The sequence below is a fragment of the Homo sapiens genome, chromosome 8 (assembly GCF_000001405.40).
Source record: "Homo sapiens chromosome 8, GRCh38.p14 Primary Assembly".
NCBI lineage: Eukaryota > Metazoa > Chordata > Mammalia > Primates > Hominidae > Homo > Homo sapiens.
In genome coordinates this window covers 78,794,903-78,821,409 of record NC_000008.11, presented here as the reverse complement: position 1 = coordinate 78,821,409, position 26,507 = coordinate 78,794,903, and the positions used below count along the sequence as shown (strand labels likewise).

The window sequence follows — 26,507 nt, the reverse complement described above, 5'->3', positions numbered from 1 at the left end:
GGCAACATCAAAAACAACTAGGCAACTAGTTCATTGGTGATTTCAGACATGGTAGACAGAAGTCAGGGTGCAGTGGAGTGGAGAATAATAGGAGCAGAAACAGTAAGTGTAAAACTATGCAGAATGAGCCCAGTATGTAAGAACAGAAAGAGAAAGGAAAGTAACTGAAAGCAGACAGCTCGAAGTTTCCAGGCAGGCACTTGCCTTAGGGCTCTAGTGCTGGCTTTGCTCTCTCCAGAAGGTACTTCTTATTCGCATCCACCATCCACATGGCTCACTCACTCATGTTTTTCACATCTTTACTCAAAAGTTAGTTTCCCACTAAGGCCTATTTAAAATCTTAACACTCTTCCTCCACACTTCACACACAAATTCCCCACCCTGATTCTACTTTTTCCCCATAGAACTTAATAACTATCTAGCATTTTATATAATTGATACTTTATTATGTATTGTGTAGCTCTTTCACTAATAGGTGAACTCAGTTTCAAAGATATTATTTTTGTCTTTTGGACACTGAGGTATCTTGAGTACCTAGAACAGTGTATGGCACATAAGATTACTTGATAACTGTGTGCTGAATTAAAAGAAAAGTTATTTCGGATTGGAGAGACTTGAGCACATTTATAAGCTGAACTTTACTATTTCCAGAAAGAAGGATGAGCCTGATCAATGAAGTGCAGGACAACAGAAGAAATCCTTATGAGATTTCCTTTGATTCTTCAGACAGTATATATAGTACTTTTACAGTAGTAAACAGATAAAACCTGTTCAGGAAATCTTATAGGCCAGTAAAGAGTAAAACTGATTACCATTATGTGTCTTTGCCATTTGGCCTTTATTTCTTTTTCTTTTCTTTTCTTTTCTTTTTTCAAGAAGGAGTCTTGCTTTGTTGCCCAGGCTAGAGTGCAGTGGTGCAATCTTGGCTCATTGCAACCTCCACCTCATGGGTTCAAGCAATTCTCCTGCCTCAGCCTCCTGAGTAGCTGGGATTAGAGGTGTGTGCCACCACACAGGCTAATTTTTTGTATTTTTAGTAGAGATGGAGTTTCACCATGTTGGTCAGGATGGTCTCAAACTCCTGACCTTGTGATCCGCCCACCTCAGCCTCCCAAAGTGCTGGGATTACAGGCGTGATCCACTGCACCCAGCCTGTCCTTTATTTCCAGTAATGAAAGATGCACACTGCTAGAACAAATAGCTATGCAAAAATTTTGGTGGTGCTTTTTCAGAGAAAGAAACTCATTGTCTTGACAATAATGTTTGGGAAACACACAATGTTTGAACCACTACTTATTATCATGATAATCAAAATTCCAGTTAATTCCATTACCTGATATAGTATATTGAAATAGCTGCATTAAATTAGCTGGGCGTGGTGGCGGGCGCCTGTAGTCCCAGCTACTCAGGAGGCTGAGGCAGGAGAATGGCGTGAACCCAGGAGGTGCAGCTTGCGGTGAGCCGAGATCGCACCACTGCACTCCAGCCTGGGCGACAGAGCAAGACTCTGTCTCAAAAAAAAAAAAAAAAAAAAAAAAATAGCTGCACCAAAACAATGGGAAAGTACTGAAAGAGAACTTCCAAAGAAGTGTACTTGCAAGAACAGTTTTGTGATAGAGTTCAATTATTTCCTTTTGCAGTTTCATATTCAATAAAGATGTTACAGGATGAAGAAAAGAAGAAGTTGTATTAATTCAAATTCAGGCCAAGAAAACAAATATTTATTGAGGATATTAAGGGCCTAAAAAGACTCATAAAAAATTTAACGTCATAAAGAAGACAGTAGTTTTAGTCAAGATTAAAACAACATCAAACAGGAAATTGCCCTGCTTGGTATCTCCTGATCTTTTCTAGAGTTAACCCTTGGAGTTTTCCTTGGATTTTTTTCTTTTCTTTCTTTTTTTTTGGCCTTTTAGTACTGATCCATGTGGCTGTTGAAAGTCTTCCATTTTATTGTTTTATGTTTTGGGGATTTGTTTGGTTTTGGATTTTATTTCTAAATCACTGATTTAAATCTGGTAATTATTGGAGAATGACTGCAAAAATCTCTAGTCTCAACCATTGGCTTATTCTTAAATGATCAATACACCTGAACATGCAATATTTTTGTTCTTGTTTTGTTTTTCAGTTAGACCTCATTGTAGGTTATAAGACCATTCAAATAAAGGGAAAACTACATGTATTGAAAAGCTTAAAAATAAAACTCAAATAGCTTAATATAGACAGATATATTTATGTTTGATAAATAGCCCTAATTTCAGCCAAGTGCAGTGGCTCACACCTGTAATCTCAACTCTTTGGGAGGCCGAGGTAGGTGGATTACCTGAGGCCAGGAGTTTGAGACCACCCTGGCCAACATGGTGAAACTCCATCTCTACTAAAAATACAAAACAACAACAACAACAACAACAACAACAACAAAAAACAGCCCAGCGTGGTGGCAGATGCCTGTAATCCCAGCTACTCGGGAGGCTGAGGCAGGAGAATCGCTTGAACCCAGGAGGCGGAGGCTGCAGTGAGCCTAGATCGCGCCACCATACTCCAGCCTGGCCAACAAGAGTGAAACTCTGCCAAAAAGAAAAAAAAAAAAGCCCTAGTTTCATGAAATTTATTTTAGAATAGGAAAGTTATAAAAGTTTCTATTAGTTTAGAGATAGAATCAAAGTGATCTCATTTATCTAATTTAGATAAAAATGTAAAGGTCTCAGAGAATGAAAATAATTCAGAATATCATTTTGAAATGAGGAAAATAACAGAAAATATAAAATTTTACATTATGCTGATTAAAGCAATGTATTACCAAGGAAGATCAGAAAAAAAAAAAACTATTTGGTTACAAAAAACAGAGGGAAGACAAATTATCTCTTTCTCTCTTCTGTAACTGGGACAGACTTATTTTCTTGCCCTTGGAAAGGAGAACCCCAGGTTCATCAGACTTTGGACTCCAAGACTGAGAGTCCAGTACCAGTGGCCCCAAGTTTCTCAAGCTTGTGGCCTTGTACTGATAGGTACACACCATTAGTTTCCCTGGTTGTAAGGCTTTCAGACTTGGACTAAGCCATACTACTGGCTTTCCTGGTTCTCCAGCTTGCAAACGGATGGTCTATTGTGGAACTTCTTAGCCTCTACAATCACATTCTTCTGCTGATTTCCCATTTAAAGGATGGCTTTATAATTATTCATAACGTATCCAGATAGGGAACAAAATGGCAGAGTAGAACTCTCCAGTGATAATCCCTCTGCAGAAACATCAATTTGAATAACTCTTCACATAGGAACATACTTTCATAAGAGCCAGGGAAGCAAGGTGAGAGATCATAGTTCCTGATAGTGGCACAATAATAGGAAAAGATGCATTGAAGAGGGTAAGAAGAACAGTTTTGGATTGTTTGCATCACCCCTCCCCCAAACCCAGGCAGCACAGCATGTAGGGAGATATTGTACACTTAGAGGAAACAGAGGGAAGTGAGCACAGGACTCTGCCTTGGACCCCAACACTGGGCCCACCACAGTAAATCAAGCACTTGGGAGAGCCCCATGGTCCCATATTCCAGACTTGTACCCCTGAAATTAACTTATAGGCCTGCCTTCCCTCATAACCAGTGGGACCACACAGGCTAAGCCTTCAGTCTTACGTGGCAAATTCAATCTCTATCCCACACCACTGAGCTGATGTCAGGAGACCCAGGATCCAGACAGCCCTCTGTAGCAGGCAGGCCTCAATGGCCCTGGACTTCCAGCTCATTCCAGCATTGTGCCTGTCATAGCAGGCTCCAGTTTTCTGGCAGTGCCATGTCAGCCACAGCTGCATTGGAATTCTGGTCTACTCCAGCACTGCAGTGGCATCTGCCCCAGTCTTCTAGCCCACCCCAGTGCTGCACCAATGACAGTGGACCCCAAACTTCTGGAAACAGCAAGCTAGTCGCAATTTCCCCAACTTCTGGCATACATCAGTGCTATGCTTATCACAGGGCTTTCCAAGAAAAAAAAGTCTATAAAGAATAAGATGAGTACCTACTTTAAATACACAGACTTCAATACACAACCACAAAGATCACAAACAATCAATGAAATATATCACTAAAGAGACAAAATAAGGTACCAGTAATAGATGCTAAATAAATAGATGCTAAATAAATTATTTTTCAGGTGTATTAACTACCTGAAAAATAATTCAAAATAACTATTTTAAGGAAGCTTGGAGTACTTTAGGAAAATTCAGAAACACAATTCAATGAAATGAGGAAAACAATGTGACCAAAATGAAAAATTTGGTAGAAAAATGAAAGTAATAAAAAAACCAAACAGAAATTCTGGAGCTGAAAATACAATGAAAGAAATAAAAAATGCACTTGAGAGCATGAACAGCAGAATGATCAGGTAAAGAAAAGAATCTTTGAACTCAAAATTAGGTTATTTGAAAATATACCATCAGAGAATAAATAAATAAATAAGTAAATAAATAAAGCTTACAGCATTTATGGAATAGTCTCAAAAGAACATTAAATGTTCAAGGCATTAGACTTCAAGAAGAAAAAGAGAAAAATAAAGAGGCAGACATCTTACTTAAAGAAATAGCAGCAGGACATTTTCCAAACCTGAACATAGTTGTAAATATCTAGACACGCAAGATCAAAGGTCTCCAATCATATTAAATGCAAATAAGACTACCCCAACATATATGGCAAAACTATGAAAAATCAGTGACAAAGAGAGGATTTGGGAAGCAGCAAAAGAAAATAAACAAATAATATATAAGAAATTTCAATAGAGCTAACAGCAGACTTCTCAGCTAAAACTTTACAAAAGCCAGTAGAAAGTGGGATGATTTATACAAGGGGGAAAAAAAAAGCCTGCTACACGGTTGTCAACCAAAAATACTGCACCTAGCAAAGTTGTCCAGAAATACAGGCATTATAAAGACCTTCCCAGATGAACAAAAGCTGAAGGTGCTCATCACCACCAGAACTGTCTTATAAGAAATGCTAAAGATAGTTTTTCAGTCTGAAAGAAAAGAATGCTGATATGTAACACAAAAACATCTGAAAGTATAAAACTCATGGGAAAAAGTACACAAATTGAGAATACTTTAATATTGTAAAAATGGTGTGGAAATTATTTATATCTTTAGGATGAAGGTTAAAAGATAACACTATTAAAAATAATAGCTAAAATAATTTGTTAAGGGATATGCAATATGAAAAGATGCAAATTGCAACACAAAAAGTTAAAATGTGGAGGGAGAAATGGGGTAAAGTCATAGAGGTTTTTTGGTTTTCTTGTTCTTTTTTTTATTTTAATCAGTTTAAAATAACCTGTTATAAATACAATAAGTTTTTTGTAACCCTCATGGCAATCACAAAGCAAAAACCTGTAAGTAGAAACAGACACACACACACACACACACACACACACAAACACACACACACATGCACGCACAAGCAAGGGGTCAAAACATGTTGCTAGAGAAAAACACTTAGCCACAAAAGAAGACAGCAAGGAAGGAAGAAAGAACAAAAGATCTACAAAACAACTAGAAAATGGCAATGTCTTTACTTATTAATAATTGTGTTGATTAAATTATCCAATAAAAAGATACGGAGTGACTGAATGCATAAAAAAAGACTCAACTATTTTGTGTCTACAAGATCACTTCACCTAAAAGCAAACAGATGCAAAAAGACATCGCATGGAAATGGAATCCAAAGAGAGCAGGAGTAGCTATACCTCTATCAAATAAAAATAAACCTTAAGTAAAATACTGTAGAAAGAGACAAAGAAGGTCATTATATTAATGACTCTTCTTTACACAGGTCATTATATAAATGACCTCTTTAGTAAAAAGAGACAAAAAAGCATCATTATATAATGGCATTTTCAGTAAGAAGATATAACAACTGTAAGTACATATGCACCCAATATCAAAGCACCTAAATATATAAAGCAAATATTAGTAGATCTTAAGGTAGATACAGACTGCAATACAATAATAATAGGGACATCCCACTTTCAGCAACAGAGAGATCATCCACATAGAAAATTAATGAGGAATAATCACTTAACCAATATACTATAGATCAAATGGACCTATCAAACGTATACATAACATTCCATCCAACAGCTGCAAAATACACATTCTTCTGAACTACACATAGAATATTCTTCAGGATATATGATGTGTTAGGCCAGAAAACAAGTCTTAACACATTTTAAAATATTAAAATTGTATCAAGTTTATTTTCTCACTACAATGGCATAAAACTAGAAATCAGTAACAAAAGGAGCTTTGGAAAATTCACAAACACATGCAAATTAAGCAACATGCTCCTGGACAACCAATGGGTCAATGAAAAATTTAAAAGAGATATTAAAAATGTCTTGACACAAATGTAAATGAAAACACAACATACCAAAACCTATGGAATAAAGCAAAAGCAGTTTTAAGAGAGAAGTTTATAGCAATAAAACATAAGATCTCCAATACATACCCTAACACTGTCTCTCAAGGAACCAGAAAAGAAGAACAAACTAAGCCCAAAGTTAGGAGAAGGAAGAAAACAACAAAGACTAGAACAAAAGTAAATGAAATATAGACTAGAAAAAATAAACAAAGAGGTTTTTTTTTGAATAGGCAAACAAAATTGATACCTTTAAGAGAGTAAGAAAAAAAAAAGACTCAAATAAAATCCAAAATAAAAAAGAAGAGACACTGCAACCAATAAAACAAGAATACAAAGATCATACAAGGCTATTAGGAACAATTACACATTAACAAATTGAATAACCTAGAAAAAATGGATAAAAATGATGCATACCTCCTTCCAAGATTGTCAATTATCAAGAAGTAGAAAATCTTAGCAGATCAAAAACAGGTAAGGAGATTGAATCAGCAATAAAGAAGCCTCCCATCAAATAAAAACCCAGGACTGGGTGGCATCATTGCTGAATTCTATCAAACATTCAAAGAAGAACTAATACCAATTCTTTCAAACTGTTCTAGAAAACAAGGAGGATGGAATACTTCCAAATTCATTTTATGAGGCTAGCATTACACTGATACCAAAACCAGATGAAGACACTACAAAAAGAGAAAACTACAGGCAAATATCCCTGATGAACATAGATGCAAAAAATCCTCAATAAAATACCAGCAAACCAAATTCAACAGTACATTTAAAATAGTCATTCACCAAGATCTCATAGGATTCAGCCCAGGGATGCAAGGATGGTACAAAATTCATAAATCAATAATTGTGGTACATCACATTAATAGAATTAAAGGCAAGAACCATATGATCATTTCAATAGATGCAGAAAAAGTGAAAAAATGCAACATCCATTAAAAACATAGGTATAAAATGAATGTACCTCAATACATTAAAGCCATATATGGCAAAACCACAGCTAGCATTATACTCAGTGGGGAAAACTTGAAAGGTTTTTCTCTAAATCTAGAACATGACAAGGATGCTTATTCTTGTCACGTCCATTTAATATAGGACTGGAGGTCCTAGCCAGAACAATTAGGCAAAAGAAAGAAATGAAAGGATCCAAACTGGAAAGAAAGGAGGCAAATTTTCTGTTTGCAAATGACACGGTCTTATATGCAGAAATTATACACATATAATATATTAGAACTAATAAAGGAATTCAGCAAAGTTGCAGGATATGAAATCAACATACAAAAATCATTATTATTTTTATACACTAACAGCAAACAATCTAAAAAAATCAAGAAAAGAATCCCATTTACAATAGCTACAAAAGGAATTAAATACTCAGGATTAAATTTAATCAAGGGGATGAAAGATAGTTACACTGAAAACTATAAAACATTGATGAAATAAATTGAGGAAGACACAAATAAATGGGAATATATTGAATCCTTACGGGTTGGAAGAATTAACATTGTTAAAATATCAACATTACTAAAAACAATCTGCACATACAACACAATCTCTGTCAAGTCACTAATGACACTCTTTACAGAAATACAAAAAGAAATCCTAAAATTTGTATGAAACTGCAAAGGACACCAAAGAGCAAAAGCCATCTTGAGCAAAGAGAGCAAAGCAAGAGGCATCACACTCTCTGACTTCAAAATATGCTACAAAGCTATAGTAACCAAAACTCATCATGGTATTGGCATAAAAACAGAATGTATACCAATGGAACAAAATAGAAACCCCAGGCAAAAATCCACATATTTATAACCAACTAATTTTTGACAAAGGAGCCAAGAACACACAACAGGGAAAAGACAATCTCTTCAATAAATGATTTCAGGAAAATTATATATCCAAATGCAGAAGATTGAAATTAGATTCTTATCTCAGATTATATACAAAATTAACTCAAAATGGATTAAAGATTTAAATGTAAGACATGAAACTATGAAACTACTAGAAGAAAACATAGGAGAAAAACTCCATGACATGGACCTGGTCAATGACTTTTTGGATATGACTCCAAAAACACAGGCTACAAAAGCAAAAATTGAAAAATAGGACTACATCAAACTAAAAACCTTCTGCACAGACAACAAAACAACAGAGAGAGAAGACACCTACAGAATGGAAGAAAATATTTGTAAATGATAGATCTGTTAAGAGGTTAATATCCAAAATATATAAGGAATGCAAACAACGCAATAGCAAGTAAAAGAATAACTTGATTTAAAAATGGGCAAAGGATCTGAACAGACATTCCTCAAAGAAGACATACAAATGATCAACAGATATATGAAAAAAAACGTTTAACATCACTAATCATTGGGGCAATTCAAACTAAAACCACAATGAGGCATCACCTAACTCCTGTTAGAAAGGTCATTATGAAAAAGTCATACAATAATAACTTTAGCTAGGATGTGAATTAAAGGCAACATTTGAACACTGTTGGTAGGAATGTAAATTAATACAGCCATTATGGAAAATGGTGTGAAAGTTTCTCAACAAAATAAAAGTAGAACTACCATATGACCCAGTAATCCCACTACTTGGTATACATCCAAAGGAAATGAAATCAGTATTTCAAATAGATATCTGCAGTCTTGTGTTTATAGCATCATTATTCACAATGGCCAATATGTAGAATCAAAATGTCCATCAGTGGATGAATGAATAAAGAAAATATGTTGTATATACACAATGGAATACTATCCAGCCACAAAAAGAATGCAATTCTGTGGTTTACAATAAAATTGATGATCCTGGAGGACATTATGTTAAGTGACATAAGCCAGGCATAGAAGGACAAATACTGCCTGATCTTATTAATTCATACATAGAATCTAAAAAAGCTGATCTCTTAGAAATAAAGAGAAGAACCATGGTTACCAGGAGCTGGAGTGGTTGTAGGGGAAGTTGAGGAGATGTTGGTCAAAGGATATAGAATTTCAGTTAGACAGAATAAATAAGTTCAAGAGATCTACTGTACAATATGGTGATACAGTTAATAACAATATATTATATTTTTAAAAAATGCTGAGAGTGAAGGTAAGTGTTCTTATCACAAAAATGATAGGTATGTGAGGTAGTGCATATGGTAACTAGATTATTCATTTCACAATTTATATATACTTGAAAACAGACAATTTTATCGGTCAATGTAAAATTAAATTAAAAACATTAAAAATGAGAAAGACATAATTGAAAAACATTTTAGTAAAACATAGTGGAGAATTGTTAGAAAAAGAAACAAGGAAATGAAAGCATACAGCCGACATTTAATAAAATGTTACTCAAGAAATAGATGACACACTGCTCCATGGTTTGAAGAAGAAATCATTGGCACATGAAACTCCATGGCTTAGTGTTTTCGTCTCTTAAAAATTTCATTTTTTGTGCTTTTCTCATTGAAATATATATGTCATTGCCAGATAACATATTAAATTATTTGGAGAAAACATTAATGGTAGTTCCAGGCTTGTAGGATGCCAGTTAATTGACACGTTATTGACATAGAAAAATGACTGATACCCCAGAAACTCAGGGACATACACTATATTTCTAGATTATGATGTCATTACTGTTGCAATAAACCTAATCATTTTACATTGTATATGAGTTAATGGATGTACTAAGAGTCCAATAATAGTCTAAGGCAAAGACAAACCTGGCTTGAACCAAACCTGGCTTGCATCAAACCTGGCTTGCCTGAAGGAAAGGTAGATTGGATTAATTTCTAATCTAAAAATAAAAGGATTTCAACAAGACAGCCTTCCATATTAGGAAGACTTCCATATTAGGAAAAGAAATCTAAAATCTATATTAAATATTAGAAGGCTTCCATATTAGACAGCCTTCCATATTAGGAAAAGAAGTCTAAATCTATATTAAATATTAAAATTTTAACAAGCTTGTCACAACTTTAGATATATCAATATCAATCAGTAGTTGGTTTTGTAACATTCTTGGATGTGAACACAAGTTCGCTCAGATATGGTTCTGTGTAATAACAGCGAGTCAAGACTTGTGCAGTCTGATGTCTCCCTTTTCCACAAGTCATACATGGGTAGAATTTGTAAACTGAAACATATTCTGTTGACTACAGAGAATTCCAGGTTGAAAAAGATAGTAACTGCTCTCCAAGAGCTCATAAGAACAAGTTGACATCTTCATATAGTAACTGGATCATATAAAGGGAATCTATCCAGTGATTTAAACAAAATATGTTTACATTTTTTTCAGTTTGCATGAAGAAATTTGTTGTAGGTGTATTCTTTTCTAATTAATCTTCTATAAAGGCAGTGGTTGAAAGCATAGTCCCTCCAAAATCTAGTACAGTCATGCACTGTATAACAAAGAACTGCCTGCAGGACAGTGGTCTAAGATTACAATGGAGCTGAAAAATGTCTGTCACCTAGTGACATTGTAGCCATTGTAACAACTTAGCACAACCAATTACTCATGTGTTTGTGGTGATGCTGGCATAAACAAACCTACTGCACTGCCAGTCCTATAAAAGTATACCACATGCAATACTGTACAGCACCCAACACCTGATAATAAACAATTATGTTATTGGTTTATGCTTTTACTATACTTTTATCATTATTTTAGATTGTACTCCTTCTACTTATTAAAAAAAAAGTTAACAGTAAAACAGCCCGGGCAGCTCCTTCAAGAGGTATTCCAGGAGAAGGCATTGCTATCATAGGAAATGACAGCTCCATGCATGTTATTGTCCCTGAACACCTTCCAGTGGGACAAGATGTGGAGATGGAAGACAGTGATGATGATCCTGACCCCGTGTAGGCCTAAGCTAATATGTGTGTTTGTGTCTTAGTTTCTAACAAAAAAGTTTAAAAAGTAAGAAAAAAGCATATAGAATAAGGATATAAAGAAAGAAAATATTTTCAACAGCTGTACAATGTGTTTGTGTTTTAAGCTAAATGTTATGACAAGAGTCAAAAAGTTGGAAAAAAATAAAAGTTTATAAAGTAAAAATAGTTAGAGTAAGCAAAGGTTAATTTATCATTTCTCGGAATATATTGTTAAATGATGCAAGACTGTATATAAAAGAAAGCCCTGATTGCCAACAATGCAACATTAGCATATAAAGGGATTGGATAATGCAAATCTATGTAAAAGCTACAGCGGCCCTCTCTGAAAGGCGATTTGGGAAATATTAGACTTCTTTCTTAGACAAGCCAATACTCAATCCAGAATTAGATGAGTGCCGATGGGAACATTTCAGTAAGGAACATAAATTTAGACCCCAGATAGAGAGTGGATTCTGATTGTTTAGAATTATAGAATTTTGGGACTGAAATTAAAGAGGAGGGAGAAATGGAGAGAAAATAAGAAAAGAAATCAACAGAGTATCTTGGGTTTCTTGGTTCCATGCTTTCCCCGTTCTGCAGAACCTAATTTTATCCATTAATATATAAATATGCTCAAGTGTTTCTAATAATTGAAAATAAAAACTTCCATGCCTTTCAAATCATTACCCTATCCCTTTTATTATTACCAAACATTTTGTAAAAGTTATATTCTCTTACTTTATTTCTTTCTTCTCTCAACCCCTGCAAGCTAGTATATTATTTGCATCTACACTGCTCTTCTCAAACTGTTGCCATGAGGATCATGGACAATCTCTGCTCTGCCAAATTTAATAGACACACTTTTCAGTCTCTATCTTATTCAACCTCTTTGTGACATTTGGAAATACTGGCTACTTACTCTATCTTGAAATTCTATTTTCCGTTGCCTTCTGAGACACTGACTTCTGACTTTCCCACTTTGCTGCCTACTATGTATTCGTCTGTTTTGTTGATGGGCACCCCTTTCTCCAGCTACTTTTTAGGGTTGCTCATGCCTCAAGATTCCTGCTAGCATTAGTTCTCTCTTCTGTCTTCTAACATGCAGGTTGAGTAATTGCATTCATTTCCATGGCTCTGGCCATCACTGATATGCTAACATACCCATCTCCAGCAAAGTTCTGACAGTCTGACATGGCTATTTTGATTCAGCCTTCAAAATAAACCCTTCTTCATTTTCTCACTTGTAATGCTCAAAACTGACAGTCTCGTCCTATTCCTGGGCTTCATCCACGGAATCAAGTAAGTTTTATTGTTGAACTCTAGTAAGTCTGCCAGAAACAAATAGTTCACATGTTTAACAGTTGACAGTTTTAGAAAACAATAGAATTTCCAATTTATTTTATGAAACTAGCATAACTGGACAAAACTAGCCCAGTATCAGTTGAATATAAAATTAAAAATAAACATAACCCAATTATGACTATAACTGTAAAATTCTAGGTTAAATATTACCAATTTGAACGTTGCATTATGTTAAATTTATGGTTTATTTAGGAATTCAGCAAAAAAACCATGACCATGTAAATAGACGCTCATTAGTCATTTGGTAAAATTTAAATTTTATCAAATTACAGGTCATCCTCTCATAGCTGCTTGTTTATTGGACAGATAAATTAACCTTTATTGATCCTCATTTAACTATGAAAATGGGCCTATACTACTTTAAACTTCTGATTCAAATAATATATCATGTTTCTCTTTTAATGATATTTTTCATCTTTGAAATTAGATATTTAACATCTGTTTTTCCCACCAAACTGAAATCACCTCAAAGACATACACTGCTATCCACAATGTGTAACTTAACATGTGTGAGTGTGCATGACCATTATAGAATTTTGAAACCCAGTGCAAAATGAAAATAAGAGTCCCTTTATCTAAAAATGAGGAATTTCAATACAGTGACAGCAGAGCATCAAATGAAGTACAAGGCCCTGTGCCAATTACACAGATCATATATCCATAATGTTGGCTGTGTGGCGCTGTGTGTGTGTTTTAAATATGTTGAATGTTATTACTGGAAAGTTAAATAAAAAGAACTTCATACTACCCATAGATAGAATGATAGATAGAATTCATATCACAGACTACAAAAAGTAGTCATATTAAGTTGGGTAAAAATAGTTCAGATATTAATCAAAAAATATTTTCTGGTTTACAATAATTGACTATTCTGACTGAAGACTGTAGAACATTAAAAGATATTGGTTAATGTTCAATAATTTTCTCTTTAAATTGACATCATATAATTTTATTTGAACTTCTTCTAATACATTATATTGATCATTCTGAGAATGTTGTCTTCTCTTTTAAAATTTATTTACCATAATTCATAAAATGTATTTACTATTTTCTCCCTTAAAGGCTTTTCTGTCCAGTTCATTGAGTCTATGAGCAAACATAATAGTAACCATTCCATTTCTTTAATCATAAAACATTAGCATTTTAAAAATTTATAAACATTTTATTCTTGTCCATCTATCTTATAAAAAATAATATTCAGTTTATCAAAATATCAAAAGCTAATTTAAGACTTCATTTTGGATTTTTTTCTAAATGGTATTAATTATCTCACAGACAGAAAAAAAAAATCATTACTTGATGTTGTTAGAATGTGCCCATTTCATATAACCCTAACAATTCCCAAAGCTTTATGAATATTCTCTTCAGAAAGATTCTTTATAGTTGGGGGCAGAATCCAGTGTAACATTTACATTGCCTTTCCTGCAGCTCTGAATAACTTCCTTTCATGCTTCCCAAAAGTTCAGATATGTACAACCCTTATTCTACCTGGATTTATGGTGATTGTGATAAAAGGAAGACGGATTTCCTTTTGTGCAAAGTATTGATGGATGCTCTTTTACTTTGTTCCTGGAAAGTTAAAAAAAGAAAAAGGTGCAGGCTATGAACAGTTACATACTTCAATGCTGCTGTCAGGGATTTAAAATAAATAAATAAATAAATAAATAAATAAATAAATAAATAAATCCCCAACCTAGGCGTGTTTCATTATAGAAATCATTTTTAAAACTCACTCCAGTGTCATGTCTGTCCTCCTCCCCACCTCCCACTCTAGGTTCCAGTCAAATGGAAATATGTGGCTTTTCTCACTCCATTCTGTCTCTCTTTTCCATTTGCTTACCCCCTTCGCTTCCTCTTTCATTCTATTTCCTTCTGCTTTCATGAACTTTCTCTTTCACACATATTCACTGATGCATTCCCACTCACCTGTTCTCTCTTACTCTGTCACCCCCCAGTACTTACTGAATGCCAGCCATGGGCTAAAGACCATAGTAAGTGGACGCTGGGCAGGAAGAGAAAGGCCATTGTGGCTGGAGGATAGTGATGTGGTACCACGAAACGTCAGAGAGGGCAGTGGGGCCCAGATCACCAGGGCACTGAGGGCCTGGTACCCAGTGGGAAGTGACCAGAAGGTGGGGCACAAAATAGAATCAGATATCCTGCTGCTCTGAGAAGAATGAAGGGGTTGTGGGCAAAAGTGAAAGCTGGAAGATCCCTTAGACAGTCTCTATAGTCACCTTAGGGTTAATTTTGGAGGTGGGGCAGACAGGACTTGTCTATGGATTTGATGTGGGAAATGAGACCAAAAAAGGAATCAGAGACCCAAGTTTCAGGCTTGAGCAACTCTGTTCTCCCTAGTTCATTGCCATCCTTTTTTTTCCTTTCTCCTTCCCTCCTCTTCCTTGTTCACGCTATAGCAGAATGTGACATACTCCTTACCAGCCCCAAGTTCATTCCTCTTCAAGTGTCAGTTTAGAAGTCACAGACTCCAGGAAACTTTCCTGAAGTCCCCACACTGGGGCAAAGCCACACACGTACTGTCATCTCCCTCCCGGCATCAGTGTGCACATTATTACTTTATTCACAGGAGTTCCAAGCAGGAGTTTCTACAGCCCAAATGCAGCAAGTCTGTGTCTAAGCTCAGTTAGCTAAGTGAAATTTGGAAAGTTACTTAAGGAAGTCTCAGTCCCCACATCTGTAAAGTGCAGATAAGAAAATGGTCTACCTCACACAAAGTTTTGCATGAGATGATATACATAAAATGCTTAGCACAAAACTGGCAGAGAGCAAATGCTAGATAAATGATAGTCGTTATTATTATCGCTGTTGTTACTGGTTTACATTATCCACCTTCATCTAAGCAGGGTTTCTGCAGAATAGCAGAAACCAAACTAATGTAGCAAATAAGCTACATAATTCAAGCCCAGGAAAAAGTTAACATTTCAGTGGCATGCATTCAAGACGAATAGTTTGATTTATTAGCCAATTCAGATAAATGTGCACGTGGAAGTCATAGTTAAATATTATCGTCAGTTTCCACGTCCTGCGTTTAATTTGGGGTTTGATTTTCCAAATACAACACTTACCAGATTAGGTGGACCCACAGGATTATTTTTCCTTGAGGTCTCACCTGAGCAGGTGCATGTACAGCAGACGGAGCAGAAAGAGACTGATTAGAGAGGTTGGAGTGGTAGAGGGCGTGACCCTCTTAATCATTCTTCACTTCCTTTTTTAAAAGACGACTTGGCATCGTCCACCACATCCGCGGCAACGCCTCCTTGGTGTCGTCCGCTTCCAATAACCCAGCTTGCGTCCTGCACACTTGTGGCTTCCGTGCACACATTAACAACTCATGGTTCTAGCTCCCAGTCGCCAAGCGTTGCCAAGGCGTTGAGAGATCATCTGGGAAGTCTTTTACCCAGAATTGCTTTGATTCAGGCCAGCTGGTTTTTCCTGCGGTGATTCGGAAATTCGCGAATTCCTCTGGTCCTCATCCAGGTGCGCGGGAAGCAGGTGCCCAGGAGAGAGGGGATAATGAAGATTCCATGCTGATGATCCCAAAGATTGAACCTGCAGACCAAGCGCAAAGTAGAAACTGAAAGTACACTGCTGGCGGATCCTACGGAAGTTATGGAAAAGGCAAAGCGCAGAGCCACGCCGTAGTGTGTGCCGCCCCCCTTGGGATGGATGAAACTGCAGTCGCGGCGTGGGTAAGAGGAACCAGCTGCAGAGATCACCCTGCCCAACACAGACTCGGCAACTCCGCGGAAGACCAGGGTCCTGGGAGTGACTATGGGCGGTGAGAGCTTGCTCCTGCTCCAGTTGCGGTCATCATGACTACGCCCGCCTCCCGCAGACCATGTTCCATGGTAAGCGCTCTTCTCCCTTGCGCACAAGTTCGCGCGCCCGACGCGCCGGGGCAATCCCAGACGCGCTGGGGGCCCCTGCTCCTAGGCAAGTCCGGGAATAGCCCGGCCTTGCACTTTGGACCTGCGGAGAGCACTGGCTCTCCCATGGGCAGCCAACAGCCGCGCCTGAGTATCCTGGCACATAGCCACTTGAACCTGGGGCGGCTGCTGCCCCTGGCAGGCTGCGAGTAACAGTCCCCAACGCCTGCTTTCTGTCCTGAGAGGGAACGCTGCAGCCTCCGCGCCGCTCAGCGGTGGCAGCCCACAGCCGGTCTCAGAAGCAGCCAAAGGCTCTCTGTCTGGCGCCCTTCCCGTGCTCCTGGCCGCCCCAAGTTACTCACGCAGGCGGCCCGGGTTCGGCGAGTAGCTGGGCTCTTGCAGCTCAGAACTCCCTAGAGAAGTGAAAGCGAAGCTCCCACGGGACGCGCTTTTAAACCCTAGGGGAACAGGTCTCCGGAAAACCCCATTTTTCCCCCCTGAGTAAGACTGGGAGTTTCCGGCAAGGGCTGTACCTTGCGCCTATTGCTGGGAAACCAGTCCTGGGGCTGGCGCTGAGGAAGGCCAGCTTCTGGGTTTTTTTGTTTTTGTTTTTGTTTTTGTTGTTATTTTTTCCTACGGGCGCTTCTTGATGGAGGCAGAATGAAATAGGCGTGACTCTAACTTCCAGACCAGTATTGAGACCTAATATATCTTATTTGTGCAGAATACGGATTTAGAATGGACAGGGACAGAATTCAGGAGGGTTGGATTCGGATGGCAGTCATATATGACCAATGAAAGAGCCAAAAAACTTACTGGAATTAAAAAAGAGGAAAAAGGATTGTGAGGGGAAAAGATCTGCTTAGGAAAATTGGAATGCTTTACAGTAAGTACTTCCTCAAGCAAGAAGACAGCTGGGGGGAGGGTGCGGGAATAGGAAACTGACTGCTCTTTCTTTTGATGGCTACTCCGTTAGATCAAGACTTCTTTCCACTCTCGTGGGTAAAGAATCAAGAATTGACACAACCAAGGAGTGCCAGCTCAGTAACAAAACAAAGATAGAGAGAGCGGAAAGAATAGCCAACGTAATTATGGAGGACTTCTAAGGAATGTCCTCCCGGAGCTTAATACAAAACTAAAAATTGAGCACAACCCTATTTTCCTTGCAATGCCCATAGTTCTGCAGTTTCTTCTTCTGGATCACCCTTGGTTCTAATCCTTGCAACACCTCTGCTCTAAAGTAGAAAGGTAAACTGAGAAAAGGAAGCTAGCGTGTGCATTTTTCAGAAAAAGCCTTTACTTCCTGAAGCACAGTTATATGAATCATGGGCTATAAGTTTTCATTAGCAGACAAAATATTAAAATTCTAATAATAATGATTATAATGCATGGCTTCCTGAAGTTTGTTTCAAGAAATTTCACTAGAAGCTTGTTCCATTAAGAGTGCACATAATGTTACTCTTTACCCTTTGTCTTTGCCATTTCTTTTGAGAGTTGAAGTAGTTGAGGATCTACTATGTGGTCTCCAACTGTCTTATCTGGTTTGGGTAATTTCATCATATTTGAGGACCAAAAAGTTGAATAGCAATAAAAATAGACTCTACTCGGGAGGCTGAGGCAGGAGGATTGCTTGAGCCTGGAAGTCAAGGCTGCCGTGAGCCATGATCTTACCACTGTCCTCCAGCCTAGGCAACAGAGTGATGCCCTGTCTCAAAAAATAATAATAGAGAACTAATATTAGAAACCCTGAACAAGCATAAAGGAGAATTACAAACTGCATCACGTTAGTGTTTGAATATTTTTTTAAAAAATGGAAAAGGCCATTTCATAGAACGAACTTACGTGTCATATTCACACTCATCTATGTGACTTTTTTTTCTGCTTTTAACCCTGACACATAACCTACTGTAACAAGAACAAATATTTAGTCTCTTTTTCTGAAATAAAAGCATATGATGCAGTTTCACAGTTTGGCCAGGAAGTACCTTAGTGAGGTTCATGCACAGGAAGATGGGTTTTTATGCAATCCCCTTGACTACACATATATGGTTATTTTTTAAGGAAGCAATGTAGTTCAGTGCCTAAAAGCTGAGGTTCTAGACTCTTCAATGTGACAGTCTTGGATTTGAATTCCATATCTATATTATGTACAGGAATTTTCTGACTAGGCATGGTGGCTCAAGCCTGTAATCCCAACACTTGGGGAGGCTGAGGTGGGCAGATCACCTTAGGTCAGGAGTTCGAGACCAGGCTGGCCAACATGGTGAAACCTCGTCTCAACTAAAAATACAAAAAAATTTGCCAGGCGTTGTGGTGGGCACCTATAATCCCAGCTACTCAGGAGGCTGAGGGAGGAGAATCACTTGAACCTGGGAGGCTGAGGTTGCAGTGAGCCGTGATCGCACCATTGCACTCCAGCCTAGATGATAGAATGAGACTCCATATCAAAAAAAAAAAAAAGAGAGAGAAAAATACGAAAGGAATTTTCCTACATGACTGTCTTTGTGCCCCAGATTCTCCATCTATAAATGTGAATAACTTGTAGTACTTACCTACTTCTTCATGAAGTGGTTATGGAATTAAATTATCAGTGAAAATAGGTCTATGCAATGGACATTCAGTAAACACTGGTTTTAAAGACTGATAAAGACTGGAGTTGATGGATTGTAGAAAACTATTTATGTTAACTTTGACCCCCATAACTTAAGCAGCTGAGGATTGAATGTATTATTTGGCTTACATTAAAAACCAACAAGAATTTTTAGACAGACCTCCTTCTGGTTTAACCAAATTCCCTACTGAAAACAAATTCTCCAATTTCAGCCTCTTCAGGGGAAGTAAGGGCAATCCCACAAGCCACGCTTGCCTTGCGTTATTCCTATGGTTTATCTTTTCGGTAACCTAATGAAAAGTTCAGGATGGTGGGGAGTGTGGGTGTGACAACAATGCCAAAAGCACTCTCAAACCAGCCATTCTTAATATGTTACTCTCTATGTGATGTAGGAGAAAGGTCTTCAATTATGGACCAAACTACCAAGCTACATCATTAATGGGAGAGCTGGGAACCTATGAGATGTGGGTCCAAGGCCCTAGGTATGTTTGCAGCATTGTCCGTGAGGCAATTTCAGATCTAAAGAGTTTCTGCATTTGGAGGACCAGGTAGATTCTTAGAATAAGGTGTCTGCAAGATGAAAAAGATCATTTAGTCTGAAGTTTTCATTTTAGAAATCAGGTAAGTGACCTTAAGAGATGCTGTGTCATTTACACAGTCACACAAACCATTGTCTTGGCAAGTCAAAAGTCTCAAGTTTTGACTTGACTACTCAGCCTAGGCTCAGTAGATCGTGGCTCACGGCCATGGCTTACGGCCATGGCTCACGGTAAGATCATGGCTCATGGCAGCCTTGACTTCCAGGCTCAAACAATCCTCCTGCCTCAGCCTCCCAAGTAGAGTCTGTTTTTATTGCTATTCAACTTTTTGGTCCTCAAATATGATGAAATTACCCAAACCAGATAAGACAGTTGGAGACCACATAGTAGATCCTCAACTACTTCAACTCTCAAAAGAAATGGCATAGACAAAGGGTAAAGAGTAACATTATGTGCACTCTTAATGGAACAAGCTTCTAGTGAAATCTCTTGAAACAAACTGCAGGAAGCCATGCATTATAATTATTATTATGAGAATTTTAATTCCAAAACCTCTGTGCTTTATATTGCCATAGTCTGTCTGGGGCTAATTATTCAATGACAACAATGGCAACAGAAAACACTCTTAACAGGCAAGGCAAATTATGTTTTAAAATTGAGAAAGTACGTGTAATATACAAAAAGACTGAATTTTCCAGCAACCCTCATTGGAAAGAATGCACAAAATGCCATCCGGTGAATAAATAGGTTGATTTAAATTTGAGGAGCACTTAACTACTGAAAATTGAGGTGAAGAAGACAGCTAATGCTCATAGCAAGTAAAACAACCTCATGTATTAAAACAAAAGGTGGACCTTTGGAATATTTATGATAATGGTAAAAGTATCCCTTTCACTCTAGCATTTAATTATTTTATTATATTCTCCTTTAAGCTCATTTCAAGTTATATGTTATATAATTTTTCCTCTATCATCTACTCCTCCCGAAGTATACCTTTTGGACCCCTGTAAGATGACAGAGAAAATAAAAAGTATGATTTCATACAATCTATACAAATCTGATTACAAGGTCAGAATCTGGTGAATAATTAGCAATTGATCATCCAAATGTCCATCAGCAGAGGTTTGGATAAAGAAAATGTGGTATGGCCGGGCTTGTAATTACAGCTTGTAATTCTGACACTTAAGGAGGCTGAGGCAGGAAGATTGCTTGAGCCCAGGAGTTCAAGACCAGTCTGTACAAAAGAGTAAGAGCCGTCTGCTAAAAACAAATTTTAAAAAATTAGCTGGGCATGGTGGGGCACCCTGTAGTCCTAGCTACTCAGAACGCTGAGGTAGGAGGATCGCTTGAACCTAGGAATTTGAGGCTTCAGTGAGCTATGATCATGCCACTGCACTCCAGCCTGGGCAGCAGAGTGAAACCCTGTCTCAAAAAGAGAGGGAGAAAAAAAGAAAATGTGGTATATGTATACCATGGAATACTACTCAGCCATAAGAGTTAAGTCGTCTTTTGCAGCAAAATGGATGAAACTTGAGGCCATTATCTAAGTGAAATGACTCAGAAAGTCAAATGCTGCATGTTTTTACTTATAACTGGGAGCTAAACAGTGGTACAGATGGACATACAGGGTGGAATAATAGGCATTGGAGACTTTGAAAGGTGGGAGAGTAGGAGGGGGATAAGGATTGAAAAATTACCTATTGGGTACCATGTTCACTATTCAGGTGATAGATACACTAAAGCCCAGACTTCACCACTGTACAGTATATTAAATATGTATTAGTAAGAAATCTGCTCTGGTCCCCCTTAAATCTATGAGTGTACATTTTTTTAATTGCCAAAATATTTTTTTTAAATTAGCAATTGATCACTGAGGATCTTTAGGTTGAAGGAACAGGAGTAGAAGAGAGAGGCAAAACTTCATTCAGAAGACAAATGTGATTACATGTTATCAATAGATTATGGCCATTTCTAATCGAATCCTGGTAAAGCAACAAATTCAGGTTAGCATCCAAACCTGGCACCTACTATGTATGTGTTACAGAAAGACTAACTTGCAGAACTTTTTGGATATTTATAAATCATATATATATATATGAGATTTTATATATAAAGTTCCTGACACATGGTAGGTACTCAACTAAAGGTAACTAGCATCATCATCATTATCTGTCTCCTAAGTTAATTCATGCTCATCATGCATATAGGCACTTAGTGGCAGAGTTATTAATATATTTGTATAAATAAAATTATCAATTTTTGTTTCTCTTACTATGTTGTCACATATGCAGATGAGAAGTTAGATTTATGTTTGTTTTCATAATTGCTACCCAGAAAATTTTCTCTATTTGTAACAACATGGGTCACTTGATTTATTGGGAGGTGTTATTGATTGTTTTATATGACAGATCATGATATAATAGATGACAATGTTACTGGAAACTTTATGATATCCCTAACAGTCTTCAGGCTGTCACAATATTAGTTCCTTGGGTTTGAAGGAGTGTTGCTTGTACTCTTAATCAGAGAAGGCACACAAGTGAAATATCTTGCATTCAAGTACAATTGAAGTTCATTTGGGAAATTCACAGGAAATACATTGTCAACATGCCTCAGAGTTTACAAAAAGATACAAATAAGACACTATGGCAGGTTTATGAAGAAATAGGTCCCTGTATGATCAGATTTTAATGTTTGTGGGAACCACTGGCTTTCCATCTTTCTGCCTGAAATAATACCATTATTTCAGTCCTTTTGATTAGACAATTGCTCCTAATTGGGAAGAGTTATCAAAAACAGATAGAAATCATTGGTTTCTATCTGAGGATGTGAATTTATTTACAGAGTTTTTCTAACATGACAAGAAGCTGGATAGCGCTGTGTTTGAAAAGAATCTGGGTCTCTGGGGACTCAGAGACAGAAGATAGTGAAAGGATAGGAGAGTAGTCCCAAAATACAAACATAAACTTTGTAAGACTTTTGGGAATGTAAACCCTTCAGGGTTCATTATTAAAAAGAAAGAGTGCACTTACAGTAGTTACAGTGCAATCCCAGGGAGATTAACCTCCCACAGTGTTGCCTCCAAGAAGCAAATAGACATGGACTACCATCAAGGTTTACAAAAATATACAATTACGTGCAGTACATCATAAAATTCCAACAATATGTAACTCTTCGAACTGTAGTGCACCTCTTTACCTGTATATGCCTTTTCTTATGGGGATGTTCAACATAAATTCAAATTGATTAACACCCTGGAGTGTTTTTCAGAAGCAGTCTATGATTTCATCACCCTTGTTTTGCACTTTCCTAAAGAGTAATTGCAAAATAAAAAAGTGAAAGGACGCTATACTCCAAAATGCTGTTCCACTTTGGTTGTTACATAAGTTCAACTTTTGAGGTTCTTCCTGTAGTATCTCCAAACCAAGATGTATTTTTAAAATTATTAGAAATTAGTGGTCCAGTCCATTGAAACCCCACAATCAAATGCAATACGATATAACATTTAGCTCATTCTTATTTACTGTCAAATTTAGTTTCTTTTAGGTATATCTTTGGACTTCCTCCCCTGATCCTTGTTCTGTTGCCAGTAGCATCATCTGATTGTGATATTGAAGGTAAAGATGGCAAACAATATGAGAGTGTTCTAATGGTCAGCATCGATCAATTATTGGTATGTGATTATTTTGTTTTACTCACATTTTCATGCATTGGGAAAATTTGAACCTTTTTGGTATGCAGTTTTATAATCAAGTATTCATCTTTCTTGACAAGAAAGTGAAGTAACTATAGAATAAAATTTAATGAGCTACTAACTGTATATTTTTATAGCTGACATAATTATGTAGCTTAAAAATAATTCTTTCCTCGACTCTAAGATTCTCACAACTATTCATTTCAGTCCTATTTCCCTTTTAGTAAATTTCTTGTAAGCATAATTCAGTATCACTGCCTAAATTTCCTCACCTCCCATTTACCATGTTAGTCCCTGTAGAAGCATTACATTAAGAGTGGGAAAATAACAGAGTAAATAGTTAAGACTTATGGTGAATAGATGTGTATTTTATTTGGCTGTGTGTAGATGCATAGTTATTTATATGTGTGTATTTTATATCTATGTGTAATCAATAATTTGTTATGAGTTAAATTTTCTATTTTTGATGGTTAAAGCTTTTCTAATTAATAGATTTTATACCTTAGAGCCAACTTAGGTTTCTAGAAAATTCGAGCAGAAAGTAGAAAATTCCCATATGCTCTCTCTCTCTCTGCACTGTTTCCCTTATTATCTTACATCAGTATGGCACATTTATTACAATTGATGAGCCAGCATTGATACATTACATAAGTGCATAGTTAACATTAGGATTCATTCTTTATGTTTTATAGTTTTATGGGTTTTGATAAATGTATACCATCACATATCCGTGATTACATATCATACAAATCATATGGTAAAAATCTCCTATCCACCGACTCATCCTTCTCTTTCTTCCCCTGAACTCCTAGTAACCACTGATTTGTTTATGTCTCTGTAGTTTTGCCTTCTTTAGAATGTCATATAGTTAGAATCATGCGGTCTGTATGTGGCCTCTTTAGACTGGATTCTTTCACTTAGCAATGTGAATCAAAGCATCCCCCATGATTTTTTGTGGTTTGATATTTCATTTTTTCTTATTGCTGGATAACAGTCTATTGAATGGATATACCACAACTTGTTTATTTTTTCACTGATTGAAAAATGTGTCACAGTTGCTTCCAATATTTGGAAATTATGAATAAAACTTCTATAAACATATACGTGCAGGGTTTTGTGTGGACATAAGTTTTCAACTCAGGTAAATACCTACAAGCATGACTGCTGGATCATATGGTAAGACTGTGTTTAGCTCTGTACAAAACTGCCAAACTTTCTTCCAAAGTGGCTGTAATATTTTGCATTCTTACCAGCAATGAATGAGATCCTAATGCCTTCCATCTTCGCCAGCCTTTGGTATTATCAGTTTTGCAGATTTTAACCATTTTAATAGGCTTGTCATAGTATCTCAGTGTTGTTTCAATTTTCCATTCCATAATGACATACAATGTTGACCATCTTTTCAGATACTTTTTGCCATTTGTATATCTGCTTTGCTGAGGTGTCTGAACTCACATTTTTACTGAAATCTTAACAATATTGAGTCTTCTTAGCCATTATCATGCACTATCTCTTTTTTAATTTTTTTCATCATTTAATTGTATTATCTGGACAGAGAACAAATGAGTATTACTGTGACAACATTTGTAAATAATTATATGTGTGTAAAACTCTGCAAAAGAAGATGCAATTGAAAATGCAAACTTTCATCAGAGCTTTGTTCTTTTCAGCATATAAATCCTGTAAATATTTTATTAGACTTATACCTAAATATTTCATATTTTAGTGCTATTTTAAATGGTGTGTTTCTAATTTCAAATTTTAGTTGTTTATTGCTGGTACATAGGAAAGCAATTGATTTTTGTATATTAACCTATGTCCTGCAACCTTACTATAATCACTTGTTTGTTCTAGAAGTCTGTTGTTGATTATTAGGAATTTTCTACATAGACAATCATGTCATCTGCAAGAGTTAATTTTTTCCAAGGTTTCAGAGCTGTATCAATACAATGTGATTGATTTATTGTTTTAACAGATAATTAGTCTCTTTTCAATCAGATTGAAACTGAATAGCAAAGGAAAACTCTCTCAAATGTTCATAAGATGGGAGAAATTGTCTAATCTGTCCCCCGACTTTTACTCCACTGTCTCTTCCACATACTCATACTGAAGTGGCATGATGCCTTGAGGAATTTAGTGTTATACCTCTTGTAGGAATATGGAAACTAAAAAGAGATACTGTGCTACACTGTACATTGTAATCCAGAGGTTCCTGATTTTGCCCATTGACAAGAAAAAAAATAGTGCACAGTAAATGGCAATTGCTCCATTTAGATTTCTTGCTAATTTGGACATTGCATTTGATGATGCTACTAAATTAATCTTTTGAGTCAAGATAATATTTCTCATTTAATTTTGTTATCTGGGCAGAGAACAAACTAGTGCTAGTTCAACATTTATAAATAACTATATGTGTATAAAAGTGCAAAATAATATGCTATTAAAAATTCAGTAAAAGGAGAGTTTCATCCAACAGACTCATGACACATTTTTTTGGTGGGAGAATATAGAGGAGCTTATCTCATTAACACACAAAACAAGAACAAGTACATCAGCAGCAATAATTATATTATTTTCAAAAAACAAAACATGGCTACTCTTCTTAAGGAGGTTAATTCACAAGACATGGAAGAGAACACAGCTAATCAGTCCAACTGAGTAGTTCCATAGTAACCTTAAGAATGTTTTCTATACATAGAAGGTGATAAATTTGAGGGAAGGAGAAAGAAAGTCTCAATGAATTATTAATGTCAACATGACTGGTAGAGCAGATTTAGTTACTCATTCATTCAGTGTGGACTAGATGCTTTGCAGACATTACTGTGTTTAAGTCTTGGGGAGACCATAATACTAATAGTTATGAAGTGCTTGTTATGTTCTCAGTGCTTTCCATGTGTTAACTAATTTAATCCTTACAACAGCCCTTGAGAAAGACACTCTTACTACCTCCGTTTCACAACAGAAGAATCTGAGGCCCAGGGTTATCCAGTTTATAAGTGACCGAGCCAGAATCTTTGTCCATGCTCTCTACCCCACTCTCCTACCTCCCAAGGACAATCTCTGTGATAGTTTATTCAATCAGCAAACATTTATTTAGGGCCTGATATGTACAAGTTACTATGAAAAACCCATTTGTGTAGGTGATGTT

The 26,507-nt window shown here is 36.6% G+C and overlaps 1 protein-coding gene and 1 long non-coding RNA gene across 15 annotated transcripts in view; one reads left to right on the top strand and one right to left on the bottom strand.

Moving 5' to 3' along the window:
- MITA1 (metabolism induced tumor activator 1) overlaps nucleotides 1–16,938 on the bottom strand; it is a 133,238-nt gene extending 116,300 nt beyond the window's left edge. For 8 of the 9 annotated variants that reach the window (XR_001745967.2, XR_001745970.2, XR_001745965.2 and 5 more), the window contains exon 1: nucleotides 15,715–16,938. This is a non-coding gene — a long non-coding RNA (metabolism induced tumor activator 1). Of the gene's footprint in view, nucleotides 1–1,963; nucleotides 14,198–15,714 lie in introns of those variants that run through there. The other variant, XR_007060969.1, reaches the window with a different exon arrangement.
- Nucleotides 15,947–26,507, top strand: part of IL7 (interleukin 7) — a 130,420-nt gene continuing 119,859 nt past the window's right edge. For all 6 annotated transcript variants that reach the window (XM_011517523.4, XM_011517522.4, NM_001199888.2 and 3 more), the window contains exons 1-2: nucleotides 15,947–16,497; nucleotides 23,202–23,338. In XM_011517523.4, the coding sequence (XP_011515825.1) occupies nucleotides 16,488–16,497; nucleotides 23,202–23,338 (147 nt within the window). In that variant the 5' untranslated portion in view covers nucleotides 15,947–16,487. The remainder of the gene's footprint in view (nucleotides 16,498–23,201; nucleotides 23,339–26,507) is intronic.